The sequence below is a fragment of the Homo sapiens genome, chromosome 14 (genome assembly GCF_000001405.40).
Source record: "Homo sapiens chromosome 14, GRCh38.p14 Primary Assembly".
NCBI classification, from domain to species: domain Eukaryota; kingdom Metazoa; phylum Chordata; class Mammalia; order Primates; family Hominidae; genus Homo; species Homo sapiens.
This window is the reverse complement of record NC_000014.9, coordinates 52,794,748-52,810,526: the sequence shown is the minus strand read 5'-3', so window position 1 is coordinate 52,810,526 and position 15,779 is coordinate 52,794,748. Positions and strand designations below refer to the sequence as shown.

The window sequence follows — 15,779 nt, the reverse complement described above, 5'->3', positions numbered from 1 at the left end:
TAACTCTTCATCTGGCTGTTCTTCTGTGCCCTTTGTAATATTATTTTATTTTATTTTATTATTTTATTTCATTTTATTTTTGAGACCAAGTCTGGTGGGACCTTGGCTCACTGCAACCTCTGCTTCCCAGATTCAAGCAATTCTGCCTCACCCTCCCAAGCAACTGGGGCCACAGGCGTGAGCCACCACTCCCTGCTAACTTTTGTATTTTTAGTAGACGGTGTTTCACCATGTTGGCCAGGCTGGTCTCCAACCCCGGGCCTCAAGTGATCCGCCCATCTAGGCCTCCCAAATTGCTGGGATTACAGGTGTGAGCCACTGCTCCCAGCCTGTAATATTCTTTATAATAAACCAAAAAACTCAAGTAAAGTGTTTCCCTAAGTTCTGTGAGCCATCCAAGCCAATTATTGAGCACAATGAGGGGGCATTGTGGGAACCCTGATTTGTAGCTGGTAGGTCAGAAATACAGGTCACAGCTTGGGACTTTCGAGTAGTGTCTGAAGTGGGGAGGTGGGGGGCAGTCCTGTGGCACTGAGCCCTTCACCTGTGGGATCTGACACTCTCTCCAAGTAGATAGTATCAGAATTAAATTGAATTCTAGGACACCCAGTTGGTGTCTGCTGAAGAATTCCTTGGTGTGGGGAAGAGCCCACGCACATCTGGTCACAGAAGTATGCTGCGAGTGTGTGGAGTAGAGAGGAAAAATGGTCTCTTTTTCCTTTTACAAAACTATGGTAATAAAGACAGTGGTACTGGCACATAGATAAACATACAAATCAATGGAATAAAATAGAGAGTCCAGAAGTAAACCCTTGTATTTATGGTCAATTGATTTTCCAGAAGATTGCCAAAATAATTGAATGAGGAAAAAAATTGTCTTTTCAACTATTGCTGGGACAACTGGGTATCCACACGCAAAAAGATTGAAATTGAACACCTACCTCAACCATACATAAATAATTACTAGGAGTCCATCATATACCTAAATGTAAAAAATAAAAATAAAAACACCCTAAAACTACTAGAAGGGAAACATAGGAGTAAATCTCACCAAAAGCACATGTGATGAAAATAGATTTGCTAAATTGGACTTCATTAAAATTAAAATCTTTTGTGCCACAAACTACACCATCAAGAAAATGAAAAGACAGTCCACAGAATGGGAGAAAATATTATTCAAGGATGGCAGAGAAAGCCCTCTCATAAAGCAAAAGATGCGAATTTTGGGGAAAGCAAACCCCCATAACTTTTTTTTTTTTTTTTTTTTGAGACAGGGTCTCTCTCTGTCACCCATGCTGGGCACCATCTCAGCTCACTGCAACTTCCAACTTCCGGACTCAAGCAATCCTCCCACCTCAGCCTCCTGAGTAGCTAAAGGCATGTGCCACCATGCCTGCCTAATTTTTATATTTTTTTTGGTAGAGACGGGGTTTCGCCATGTTGCCCAGGCGGGTCTCAAACTCCTGGGCTCAAGTGATTCTCCTGCCTCAGCCTCCCAAAGTGCTTAAAGGGATTGCAGGCATGAGCCACCACTCCTGGTCAGCAAGCCCTCTTAATATTAAGGCCTAAAAGCACATGGGAAGGACACCAGTAGCATCTGCTATGCAGTCCCTGACTGTCTTCATGGATTAGACAGATCGTAGTTTCAGCTTGTGTTTCTCCAGAAAGCACAGTCTGAGGCAAAAGGCTTATATGCTATTACTTTATTAGGGAGAGCAGTTCCAAGAAACAGGGATAGGGAAAGGGCAGTGAAGCGAGGAAGAAAGGAGAACCAATATGAGATTGCATTATGGAGCTGGCCATCATTAAATGTCACTGATTGCTTGATCTCTTGGGATAGTTCTTAAGAAGCCTCAAAAAGCCCTGGGACTTACCTAAAGACTCAAAAAAATACCTGAATAAAAAAAATTTTTGTAATGCTGCTTTTCCGCTGCAGGTGTTAGTTGATATTTGTAAATTAAGACTCTCTGAGACCTCATTCATAACTTGAGTTCCCTTTAATCACCATCCAGCTCCTAATTGGTAGTAATGGATAGCAGGGATAATTGAAATCCACAGAATAACAGCTACCATTTAGTAAGCGCAAGGCAGTTTTATATAATGTCAAATCCTCACAAAGTAGCTTTTGTTATGCCATTTTATTAATGCCCAAAATGAGATTCAGCTAACATGAGGAATGTGGCCAAGGTCATGGAACTAGTAAATAGCAGACCAGGTTTCAAAACCAGGTACTTTTTTTACCCCCAAAACAATGCTGTTTCTGTTACACCATGATGCCTCTTAGGTGAAAGGATTGAAATTCCTAGATCTTCTCTTAGCCAATACTTTTAAATTTTTGATTGATTTTTAAAACTAAGTCATACAAACCAGTGGTTCAAAATTCAAGAAATATAAGAGTTTTCACTGAAAACTCCCTTTTTGCCCTGCCCATTTGGTCAGTCACCCAGTGACTGCCACTAATACTGCCAGTTTCTTGGGTATCTTCCCAAAAATGTTTATGTTAAATATATTATTTTCCCCCTTTAACAGAAATATATATAATATATATTATATATAGTATAGTATATACTATACTATATATAATATATATAGTATATAGTATATATTATATAGTATATATAATATATATAGTATATATTATATAGTATATATAATATATATACTATATATAGTATATATAATATATAGTATATAATATATATTATATATAGTATATAATATATATTATATACTATTTATATATAATAGTATATATATTATATGTATACCATTCTCACCTTGTTTTTTGTTTTTCACTCCACAGTATATCCTACATAAAGCTTAGTCAATACTTTGAAATGTTCTCATCACTAAACCTTTTATTGTTAGGGAGTACAAGATAAATTGCACCAAAATTTATCCTTGTCCTACTTATTCACTACTGAAAAAATAAACCAAAAGCAAAATGGCTGAGGATCAGGCAACAGGAAAGGGATGGAGAAGCACGAAATAACCACAGGCCGATCAGTGGCTTTACATCAAAAGGCTTTTCTTGTTTTTGTTCTTGGCCTATTTTGGCCCTACTTCATCCATAATTTTCAGGTGTGTTTCACAAAGCAATTGCTGTAACTCTTCCCTTCTACATTTTCTGTTCACATGCATGAATGGAATGTGAATGTCTATTTGTCCTTTTAGCAGCTTGGGCCATCTGACCCCAAAAATTCCAAGATGAGAAGACAGTGTTGTCAAAGTGAGTGAGAAACCTAGATCTTGTTCTTCTCCAGATTTCATAGTCCTGAAGTCTGTATCACACCATATAGCACTTGATTGCATTTAGTCCAATACTTTTCACTGGTTGTTTCTTTTTTTTTTTTTTCTTTTTCTTTTATCGAGACGAAGTCTCGCTCTGTCACCCAGGCTGGAGTGCAGTGGTGCGATCTCGGCTCACTGCAGGCTCCGACTCCCGGGTTCACGCCATTCTCCTGCCTCAGTCTCCCGAGTAGCTGGGACTACAGGCGCCCGCCACCACGCCCGGCTAATTTTTTCGTATTTTTATTAGAGGCGGGGTTTCACTGTGTTAGCCAGAATGGTCTCGATCTCCTAACCTCGTGATCTGCCCGCGTCGGCCTCCCAAAGTGCTGGGATTACAGGCGTGAGCTATCGCGCCCGGCCTGGTTGTTTCTTTTGTGTAGTAAATTACAATATAAAATTCCCGGCCGGGAGCAGTGGCTCATGCCTGTAATCCCAGCACTTTGGGAGGCCGAGGCAGGTGGATCACAAGGTAATGAGTTCAAGACCAGCCTGGCCAATATGGTGAATCCTCATCTCTACTAAAGATACAAAAAATTAGCTGGGCATGGTGGCACCTGTAATCCCAGCTACTCGGGAGGCTGAGGCAGAAGAATCGCTTCAACCCAGGAGGCGGAGGTTGCAGTGAGCCGAGATCGCGCCATTGCACTCCAGCCTGGGCGATAGGGCGAGACTCAGTCTTAAAATAATAGTAATAGTAATAATAATAATAATAATAATTCTCGAAGACAGAGCCCACATCTCACAGCATGGCAGTAAGTTGTAGTAGGTGCATATTAGTAAGTACTAGGGGATAGAAGATAAATTCGGTGATCCTGACAGTTCCTCCTGCATTGACAAAAGGCCAAGACAACTGGTGGGGTGTAGGGAGAGGTGAGGATAAAAGTAGGTCGGAATCACAGGAAGTTTTCTTAGCATATATGTATTAGTCCGCCCACACTGCTCTGTCAACATCTCAGTTAGCAAGGGTGTGGGAGATATATATTCTGATAAAGCTCCCTAGGTGATTCTCATATTCTACCATCCTCACACTCCTGATTTATAATTACGGTTAGAAGAATGGAGAGATGCAAAGACAAGAGCAAATACCAAATACCCACTTCAGCTGGAAATTATTAAACAATTTTTCTAAAAAGAAAGAAGATAGGTCTTCCTTTTTCTTTTCTACTTTCCTTTGTGCTTCTTGCCATAGTAGTAGCAATAATACAAAGAAGGATATGCGTATCTCCATGTCTCAGATGGTAAAAAAGAAAGACAGAAGGAAAGAAAGACAGAAAAGAAAGGGCACATTGTAATACCGAAAGCTGCCCCATGACTATTCTCAACGAGGCTCAGATGGCCTATTTTTGCAGATCCAGGTGTTCTTCTTGTTTAGTTGCAGTTGTTCTATGTTCTTTTTCATATCTTCCTGAAAAATTCCCTCAGAAAGATCCCGGGTCCATGACATTAATGTCCACTAGTACACTAATATTTTCTAATTTGGTAGTTCTTAAATTTGAACAAGATTTTGAATAACCTGAAAGGCTTGTTAAAACACAAACTCCTAGAATCTACTCCTATAGTTTCTGATTCAGTAAGTGCGGGATGGCTGGGTGCAGTGGCTCACGCCTGTAATCCCAGCACTTTGGGAAGCTGAGGCAGGCGGATCACGAGGTCAGGAGATCGAGACCATCCTGGCTAACATGGTAAAACCCCATCTCAACCAAAAATACAAAAAATTTTAAGTGTGGATGGAATCCAATAATTTATATTTCTAATAAATTCCCAGATGATGTGGATGCTGCCGGTCTCAGGACATTTGAGAACCACTGTTCTGCTTATTAATAACTTCATACTTCCCATTGTAGATGGGAAATATCCCAGGAACTAGGAAGGGTGATTGAGAATGCCAATCCCAATAGATGTTAATAGCAGAAGACTTGACATTTGTGTGGGGAGAATAAATGCTCTTTTAGAATGATCATGTTCAGAAGTTTCACCAGCATTTGGATGAGACTGCTATGTAGTACTAGTGAGATTTTTAAACTAAAATTTGTCTTCCCTGTTTGAGATTTCTCATTAAAAAAAAAAAGTGGAGAGAAATTTACAGCCCATGAAGATGTCCCTTTTCCCCAATCTAGCATGAAATATATTTTGGAGCCACCTACCTTGCTGTATCTTTTTTTCTGTAACACTCTGAAACAATATCATCTCTCTTGGGGCATTAACATTGAAGTTAGCCAAGGTGAAAAGCACTGGAACAAAAATATAAATGTGTGTATTTATATATGACATATACTATCTATATACAATGTTTATATATTTGAACATTGTGTATTATAATGTTAATATTAAACTGTGTCTACATAGATATAATTTTCTGGTTCACAATTTGCTGCTTTTTTTCTTTTTTTTTTTTGAGATGAAGTCTCCCTCTGTCACCAGGCTAAAGTACAGTGGCATGATCTGGGCTCACTGCAACCTCTGCCTCGGGGGTTCAAGCAATTCTTCTGCCTCAGCCTCCCAAGTAGCTGGGATGACAGGCACGTGCCACCATGCCCAGCTGATTTTTGTATTTTTAGTAGAGACGAGGTTTCGCCATATTGGCCAGGCTGGTCTCGAACTCCTGACCTCGTGATCCGCCCACCTTGGCCTCCCAAAGTGCTGGGATTACAGGCATGAGCCACCGCGCCTGGCCTGCTGCTTTTTTTTTTTTTTTTTTGAGACAGAGTCTTGCACTGTTGCCCGTGCTGGAGTGCAGTGGTGCGATCTCAGCTCACTGCAACCTCCACCTCCCAGGTTCAAGTGATTCTCCTGCCTCAGCCTCCCAAGTAGCTGGAATTACAGGCGCCCACCACCACACCCAGCTAATTTTTTTGTATTTTTAGTAGAGACGGGGTTTCACTATGTTGGCCAGACTGGCCTCAAACTCCTAACCTTGTGATCCACCAGCCTCGGCCTCCCAAAGTGCTGGGATTACTGGCATGAGCCACTGCGCCCAGGCCCTGCTACTTTTTTTCTATGTCTAATAATTTCTTATTGGATATCAGACATTAAATACTATGTTGTTAAATATTTAAATTTTGTTGGCTTTTTTCAGAGTTTTGAAGTTTATATTGGCCCACAGGTTAGTATTACAGTCAGGTTAGTTGCCAATCAACTTGATTGTTCGAAGGTTTTTTTTTTTTTTTTTTTTTTTGAGACAGGGTATCGCTCAGTTACTCAGACTGGAGTGCAGTGGAAGGATCATAGTTCACTGTAACTTTGAACTTCTGGGCTCAAGTGATCCTCCTACCTCAACCTCCCTAGTAACTGGGACTACAGGCACATGCCATCACCCTTGGCTGACTTTTACTTTTTATTTTTTGTAGAGGGAGGATCTGGCTGTGTTGCCAGGCTGGTCTTGAACTCCTGGACTCAAAGGATCCTCCTACCTCAGCCTCCCAAAACACTAGGATTACAGGCGTTAGCCATCTGCCTGGCTGATTTTATCGTTTTGTCTGCTTGACCTATCACTATAGAAATAGATGTTAACATCTCTCATTATGATTGTGGGATTTGTCTCTAATTCCTCTCATTCTTGGATTTGGATCATTTTATCATATCTAGTGACCTTTTTTATCTTTAGTAATGCTTTTGCCTTAAAATACTGCTTTTTTCTGATATTAATAGATCTATGCTACCTTTTTTTTGTTGAGTATTTGCCTGCTATTCTCTTCCTTACTGTTTTCAACTTTTCTGTATTATTGTTTTGAGCTGTACATTTTAAGAAGACTGAAAGAATTCAGTTAAACCTTGTTTTGTTACTGTAAAACAGGTGTCCCCATAAACATTAGCAATATTAGCTTGTGATAAAATATGCTTTTTCCTTCAAAATAGTTTTCTTGTTTTATATTTAGTTTTGGAGGTTGGTACAACATAGGGAAGACAATACAAAGCAGTTGAGTATATTATTATAGAATCCAATAAAGAAAATAAAAAGTATAAGAACTTTAACAAGATCAAGCTGTGGAAGCGATCTTTAGATGAAATCAGATCCTAAGTGCAAGGCCAAAGGATAAGAGAAAAAAACAAGAAGTTTTGAAATCTATAGAAAAGAAAAGCCTCCAAAATGTGCAGTTTGAAGCTCCAACCACTACAACACCCAAGACCTGGTCTGAAAAGATCAGAAATGCCCATGAATAGGATTGGAAGAGACTATTGAAAGGAAAGAATCATCCAGAACTTATAAAGCAAGATTTAGTGAGTAAGCCGTAAGTATGATTTTTATGAGAACCTGTGTTTGCACACATATATATGTGATTTGCACCCTGAGACTTTAGTACTCTCACTGGCTTATTGTGTATTCATGTGATGATCAACTATGATTCACGATTCTCCTTCCCAAGCCTTCCCCTCCTTGAGTATTCCCTGTTTAAGTAAATGGCCTCCACCCATTAGCTTAAGCCAAAAATCTGAAAGTCATCCTTGATTCATTCATCCTTACCTCACGATCTACTGATCCTATTTCTTAAATATCTCATGAATCAGTCCATATTTTCCCCCTTCTCTGTCAGTCCCCAATCCATTTCCTCCAGCTGCCTCCTAATTGGCTTACCCACATATATATTACAGTGTTTGTGCGCCATCATCTCCTCCATTCTGTACATAGTGCCCAGAATGATCTTTTTAAAATGCAAGTGATCACGTCACTTCCCTGCTTAAATATATAAACCAAAAAGCAAAGAAACAAACAAAAAACTTAAATGGCTTTCCACTACCTTCAGTACAAAGGCCAAATCCTTTATAAAGCCTCCAAGATCTGGATCCTGTCTCTCTACAATGTAGCCATGTTGGCTTTCCTTTCGACACTACTTCAAAATCAATTCAATGCTGGATCCTCTGCCTAAACTACTTTCCCCTCTTAGCCAACTAAGAAGTTTCTTAGACAACTCTTCTTCATTTTTCATGTTTTAGCTTTGATATCTCAGGCTGAAGTGGAGGATAGCCTGAGCCTGGGAGGTCGAGGCTGCAGTGAGCTGTACTCCAGGATGGGTAACAGAGCGAGACCCTGTCTCAAAACAAAGACAAACAAACGAAAAACCCAACAACAACACAACACAACACAAACAAAACAAAACTACACAAAACACAAAAAAGGTATTTTGTGTTTCCATTTTTCAGATGAGAAAATTGAGGTTCAGAGATGAAAACTACTGTTTATGGCCTCAAAGCAACTTGGGTGACTGTTAGATTATGATTATGCCTTATGTTTTCTGTGTTTGACACTGAGGTATGGCCACTATTCCAAAACTGTTTTTATGATTAGATAAAGGCTATGCTTAGATAGTCTGATACTAAAAAATAAATCATTCCAAATCCTAAAAATGTTTCCAACTGCATGTCAGCATAATGCCGTAACCCTTCCTTTCTAAGGTAACAACATTGTTCTCAAAATAGAGATTTTGCCTCATATCAAATAGATTACAATTAGGGTGAACTAAATTATGAAAACCAAACTGAAAACAAAACACAGAGCTTTTTTTTATGTACCAGTCTTCTAAGTTATTCATGTCATGAAAGTGCAATTCTCCTTATGTCTGTAATTCTCTTTGCTTTGGCCGCAGTTCTTCCGACATAGCTTTCCAGCAATGTCATACATTTTCGTTTAAACATTATGTTCTAGTTGTGTGACTAACACTGACAAATTTGTCTGTGACAAGAGTTCTTCCTTACTACTTGAGCAGCTTGTCACCACTTCCCTTCAGTGCAGGGTGGTTCTAAGTGAGTGGTCTTTTAGAGAAACTCCCAGTGGTGTCTGGAAGTGACCTCACAATCAAGTTAAATAAGGTTTAGGGAGTTGAGCAAACTGTTTGGACTGAATGAGGCTGATTTCATTTTTTGCTTCAATGACAATCATCTAATTGTTGAGACTCTTGGGCATCTTAAGCAAAAAATGTAGAATTTACTCAAAATGTTTAGGCAGTGTAGCCTGTTTCTATGGCAACAGTAAGTAAATAAACTGAAAACATAATTTATTTTTTTTTTTGAGACTGACTCTCACTCTGTCACCTAGGCTGGAGTGCAGTGGCATGATCCTGGCTCACTGCCACCTCCACCTCCTGGGTTTAAGCAATTCTCATGCCTCAGCCTCCTAAGTAGCTGGAATTACAGGCGCACGCCACCACACCTAGCTAATTTTTGTATTGTTAGTAGAGATGCAGTTTCTCCATGTTGGCCAGGCTGGTCTCAAACTCCTGACCTCATGCGATCTGCCTGCCTTGACCTCTCAAAGTGCTGAGATTACAGGTTTGAGCCACCGTGCCTGGCCCGAAAGAATAAATTTAAGTGAAAGAATCATAAGTATGTGACTAAGAAAGGTTTATTTTCCAATTGTACCTTGCATCTGTCCAATTGCTTGAAAAAATATCCAAAGTATTTTTGAACCAACTTTTTTTTTTTTTTTTTTTGAGACAGGGTTTGCTCTGTTGCTCAGGCTGGAGTGCAGTAGTGTGATCAATCCCACCTCAGCCTCCTGAGTAGCTGGGACTACAGGCTTGTAGCACCATGCCTGGCTAATTTTGTTTTTTATTTTTTGTAGAGATGGAGCCTCACTGTATTGCCCAGGCTGGTCTCAAACTCTTGAGACCTCAGGCTCTCAAAGTGCTGGGATTACAGGTGTAAATCATACTGTCTGGCAGTACCAGCTCTTTAATGCTAAAAACCTTTTTTTTTTTTTTTAGACAGAGTCTCCCTCCATCGCCCAGGCTGTAGTGCAGTGGTGCAATCTCAGCTCACTGCAACCTCTGCCTCCTGGGTTCAAGTGATTCTCCTGCCTCAGCCTCCCGAGTAGCTGGGACTACAGGCGCATGCCACAACTCCTGGCTAATTTTTGTATTTTTTTTTTTTAAGTAGAGACGAGTTTCACCATGTTGGCCAGGATGGTCTCAATCTCCTGATCTCGCGATGCACCTGCCTTGGCCTCCCAAAGTGCTGGGATCACACGTTAGCCACTGCTCCCGGCCCTAATGCTAAAAACGTTTAAATTGCTTGTAGATATAATATTTTCTGCAATCTGCTTTTTTACATCCTCAACATAGTAAAATGCTATAAGAATTAGAGACTGACATACTTAGTAAAGCCATCACTAAGTTTTACTTCTCAATTTACTATTTTTTAATAGATATTTTATTATACGTCCAATCACTTTGAAGGAAATGATACAAAGAGGGGAATAAAAAAGGATAAGACATGATTAAGAATTTAGCAAATAATTGGAAAGATGAAATTAGCATATGAGAAACGATGCAGTAAAAACCAGCAATGTCTGGAGCCAGAGTTAAGGAAGTTGTGGAGTAACAAACAAGTTAAAACATTATTTCTGAGGAGGTACACTGGTAAGATTTTTTTTTTCTTTTTCTTTTTTTTTTTGAGATGGAGTCTCACTCTGTCCACCCAGGCTGGAGTTCAGTGGCGCAATCTCAGCTCACTGCAACCTCCGCCTCCTGGGTTCAAGCGATTCTCCTGCCTCAGCCTCCCAAGTAGCTGGGATTACAGGCGCCCGCCACCACGCCCGGCTAATTTTTTTTTTTGTATTTTTAGTAGAGACGAGGTTTCAGCGTGTTGGCCAGGCTGGTCTCCAACTCCTGACCTCAAGTGATCCGCCCGCTTCAACCTCCCTTTTACCAGGGCTACTTTTTTTTTTAACTTGTTTCATGGAAAATTTCAGACGTGTACAAAAATAGTAAAATGCATTTTCAGGCATCACCAAGCCACTCTGACAGTTTTATTTTCTTGGAATGCTCTTCCTCTAGACATAGTCACAAGGCTGACTTCCTCACACCTTTCAGAATTTAACTCAAATGACATTTCAGAGAGGTCTTCTCTGACTACTCTATTTAACACTGCACCTCAACACTCCTTCTGCCTCTTCCCTTTCCTGTTTTTCACCATAACTTTGATCACCTAACATTTTATAATTTTTTACATGTTTTTTTCTGATCTGTTCACAATCTAATAAACTACATGAAGGCAAGGATTAACAAATGTTTTCTTAACTGATATGTCCTAGTACCTAGAACAATTCCTGATACATAGAAGGGCTTAACAGTCAATGAGTGAATGAATATTAATATGGGGAGTTGTTAAAAAATAGAAAAATAGGAAGCGGCCCCGTGGCCGGAAGTGGGCCTAGAGCGCCGCAGCCCAAGATGTAGCTGGCCGTGGATGAGATGTTTCCAAGGGCGCCGGGCCCTACGTGGACCTGGACGAGGCGGGAGGCAGCACCAGGTTCTTGATGGACTTGGCAACTAATGAAAAGGCTGTTCATGTAGACTTTTTAAATGGTTTTGAAGATCTCTTTGATGATGATGACATCTAGTGAGATGCCGTCTGGCTGCAGGCGGGTCCAAGCCCTTGGTACAGAGCCGTGGTGTGAGCCTGCGCAGGGCAGTTTCAGGTGATTTTAAAGAACATATGGAAATACGTTGAAATTAGGACCTGGTTAACCAAGAAAGACAAAATTGTACTTGACCACCTGGATGAGGCTGTTAATCTCTGAACGTGACCAGGTTTTGCCTTCACTTCAATTAAAAGAAAGCAATGTCACATGCCAAAAAAAAAAAAATTACAACAGAGTTTGGACAGTATTATACGATGCTAGGGAAAAAACATGTGGATTGTGACAGAGGTTAAGCAGTCACCAAATATTCTCTACTCTGAATTTCCCTGCTAACTTGGTAGCTAGGCAGGGTTACAATTACTAACATGGCAAATAAATTGTGAGCGTAAGGGAAGTATGTCAATTATGGGATCAGGCAGTAAAAGTTCCATGCATGATTTTCCAGTCTCTTTTCACTATTCTGGTCACTAAAGATGTCATGTATTTCAGATTTTGACCAGAATAGGGTGGAACTGCCATTAGCCTCTATCCCTGAGTGATTACATGGAGAAAGTGCCCTAACAATTGGTGTAAGACAAAAAAAAACTTATTGTGTTAAGCCACAGAGATTTGGGAGGTTGTTTGTTATTGCAGACTTATTCTGACTATATGCAAATATATGTACACAAACCAGCATTTATTAAGCACGTACTATATGTCAGGCACAATGCTGAACACTTTACATATATTATTTTATTAAACCTTCATCAAACTCTGCAAGCCTGTACTATTACACTGACATGAGAAAACTGGGACAATGTGAGGACAAATCATTTGTCCAAGGTGGTCAGCTAAATGGAAGGGCTGAAAATGAAACCCAGGCAGTCTGAAGAAACATCTATCAAGCTGTTAACTGTGGTTGATATGGTTTGGCTCTGTGTCCCCACCCAAATCTCATCTCAAATTGCAACCCCCATGTGTTGAGGGAGGGACCTGGTGGGAGGTGATTGGACCATGAGGGCGGTTTCCCCCATGCTGTTCTTGTGATAGTGAGGGAGTTCTCACGAGAGCTGATGGTTTTGAAAGTGTTTGGCAGTTTCCTGTTTGTTCTGTCTCCCTCCTGCCTTGTGAAGGTGTGCCTTGCTTCCTCTCACCTTCCACCGTGACTGTAAGTTTCCTGAGGCCTCCCCAGCCATGTGGAACTGAATCAATTAAACCCTCTTTTGTTTATAAATTACCCAGTCTCAGGTAGTATCTTTATAGCAGTGTGAAAACGGACTAACACGGTGGTTATCTTTGAAGGCAGAAATAAGGAGACTGATCACTCTTTGTTCTATATTTCTGTAATATTTCAAGGTTGTTATTTTTTTTTTTTCAACCTCCACCTCCCAGGTTCAAGTGAATTCTCCTGCCTCAGCCTCTAGAGTAGCTGGGACTACAGGCGCGTACCACCACACCTGGCTAATTTTTGTATTTTTTAGTAGAGACAGAGTTTCACCATGTTGGCCAGGCTGGTCTCAAATTCCTGGCCTCAAGTGATCCGCCCACCTCGGCCTCTCAAAGTGCTGGGATTACAGGCGTGAGCTGTGGCCAGCTTTATTGAGTTCTTAAGTTCAAATGTCTATAAAGAAAAAAAGTGATATGGTTTGGCTCTGTGTCCCCACCCAAATCTCACCTTGAATTATAATAATCCCCACGTGTCATGGGAGGGACCCAGTGAGAGGTAACTGAATCATGGAGGTGGGTTTTCCCATGCTGTTCTCGTGATAGTGAATAAGTCTCATGAGATCTGATAGGTTTTTTTTTTTTTGAGATGGTGTCTCACTGTGTTGCCCATGCTGGAGTAGAGTGGCGCGATCTCGGCTCACTACAACCTCCACCTCCTGGGTTCAAGTGATTCTCCTGCCTCAGCCTCCTGAGTAGCTGGGATTACAGGCGCCCACCACCACACCTGGCTAATTTTTGTATTTTTAGTAGAGACAGGGTTTCTCCATGTTGGCCAGGCTGGTCTCGAACTCCTGAACTCAAGTGATTTGCCCACCTCAGCCTCCCAAAGTGCTGGGATTACAGGCATGAGCCACCATGCCTGGCCAATCTGATGGTTTTATACAGGGGAGTTCCCCTGCACATGCCCTCTTGCCTGCTGCCATGTAAGACACGACTTTGCTCCTTCTTTGCCTTCCACCATGATTGTGAGGCCTGCCCAGCCATGTGGAACTAGGAGTCCATTAAACCTCTTTCTTCCTCTCTTTCTGCCTTTCTTTCTTTCTTTCTTTTTTTTTTTTTTTTTTTTTTTTGAGACAGAGTCTCGCTCTGTTGCCCAGGCTGGAGTGCAGTGGCGCGATCTCCTCTCACTGCAAGCTCTGCCTCCCGGGTCCACGCCATTCTCTTGCCTCAGCCTCCCGAGTAGCTGGGACTACAGGCACCCACCACCACGCCTGGCTAATTTTTTGTATTTTTAGTACAGACGGGGTTTCACTGTGTTAGCCAGGATGGTCTCGATCTCCTGACCTTGTGATCCACCCGCCTCAGACTCCCAAAGTGCTGGGATTACAGGCATGAGCCACCGCACCCGGCCCCTCTTTCTTTTTTTTGATGGAATTTCACTCTTGTTGCCCAGGCTGGAGTGCAATGGCATGATCCCAGCTCACTTTTTTTTTTTTTTTTTTGACGGAATTTCAGTCTTGTCACCCAGCCTGGAGTGCAATGGCATGATCCTGGCTCACTGCAACTTCCGCCTCCCAGGTTCAAGCAATTCTCCTGTCTCAGCCTCCCGAGTAGCTGGGATTACAGGCACCCACCACCACGCCCGGTGAATTTTTGTATTTTTTTAGTAGAGATGGGGTTTCACTGTGTTGGCCAGGCTGGTCCTGAACTCCTGACCCCAGGTAATCCACCTGCCTCGGCCTCCCAAAGTGCTGGGATTACAGGCATGAGCACCTCTTTTTCTTTATAAATTACCCAGTTTCAGGTATGTCTTTATTAGCAGCATGAGAACAGGCACACAGCCTCACTCATAAAAAAAAGAAAAATTATAGCTGGGTACAGTGGCTCATGCCTATCATCCCAGCAGTTGGGAGGCTGAGGTGGGCACATGATGGCTTGAACTCATGGCTAGTCATGAGTTCGAGACTAGCCTGAGCAATGTGGTGAAACCTCATCTTTAATAAAGATACAAAAAAATTAGCTGGGTGTGGTGCTGCACGCCTGTAGTCCCAGTAACTCGGGAGGCTGAGGTGGGAGGATTGCTTGAGCCCAGAAGGCAGAGGTTGCAGTGAGCTGAGATTGTGTAGCCATATTCCAGCCTGGGCAACAGAGTGAGAACTTGTTTCAAAAAGAAAAGGAAAATTGCTTGAGTTTCACTTGCATTATGGAAATAATAGTGCCCACCTTATGTCACAGGATTCATATGAGGATCAAATGAAATAATTTATAAACATGTTTAGAGAATGTCTTCGCCTATTTTCTACTACTGTAATAGAATACCAAGACTGGGTAATTCATAATAAAAAGAAGCATATTTGGCTCACAGTTCTGGAGGCTGGGAAGTGCAAGAGCATAGTACCAGTATCTGTTGAGGGTCACCCCATGGCTGAAGGCATCACATGGAAGGAGTAGTGTAAGAGAAAGAAAGACAGGGAGGAGCTGAACTCATCCATTTTATCAGGAAACCACTCCCACGGTAACAGCATTAATCCATATTATGTGAGGGAAGAGCTCTCATGACCTAATCACCCCTTAAGGGCCTCACCCTCTTAATACTGTACCATGGCAATTAAATCTCAATGTGAGTTTTGGAGGGGACATTAAAACCATAACAGAGAATTATAACTTTAAGACCATATTAAGTATGTACCATATTACCTTTTTTTTTTTTTTGAGACAGAGTCTCGCTCTGTTGCCAGGCTGGAGTGCAGTGGTGCAATCTCGGCTCACTTAAACCTCCACCTCCTGGGTTCCAGTAATTCTCCTGCCTCAGCCTCCTGAGTAGCTGGGACTACAGGCGTGTGCCACTACGCCCAGCTAATTTTTGCATTTTTAGTAGAGACAGGATTTTACCATGTTGGCCAGGATGGTCTCGATCTCTTGACCTCATGATCCACCCACCTCAGCCTCCCAAAGTGCTGGAATGGTACAGGCGTGAGCCACCGTG

The 15,779-nt window shown here is 41.5% G+C and overlaps 1 long non-coding RNA gene and 1 pseudogene across 2 annotated transcripts in view; one reads left to right on the top strand and one right to left on the bottom strand.

Annotated features, from left to right (window-relative positions):
• LOC105370500 (uncharacterized) overlaps positions 1-15,779 on the bottom strand; it is a 138,447-nt gene that overhangs the window by 119,708 nt on the left and 2,960 nt on the right. The gene's annotated exons all lie outside the window — the stretch shown is intronic.
• On the top strand, positions 11,437-11,853 carry LOC100288978 (COP9 signalosome subunit 9 pseudogene; annotated as a pseudogene).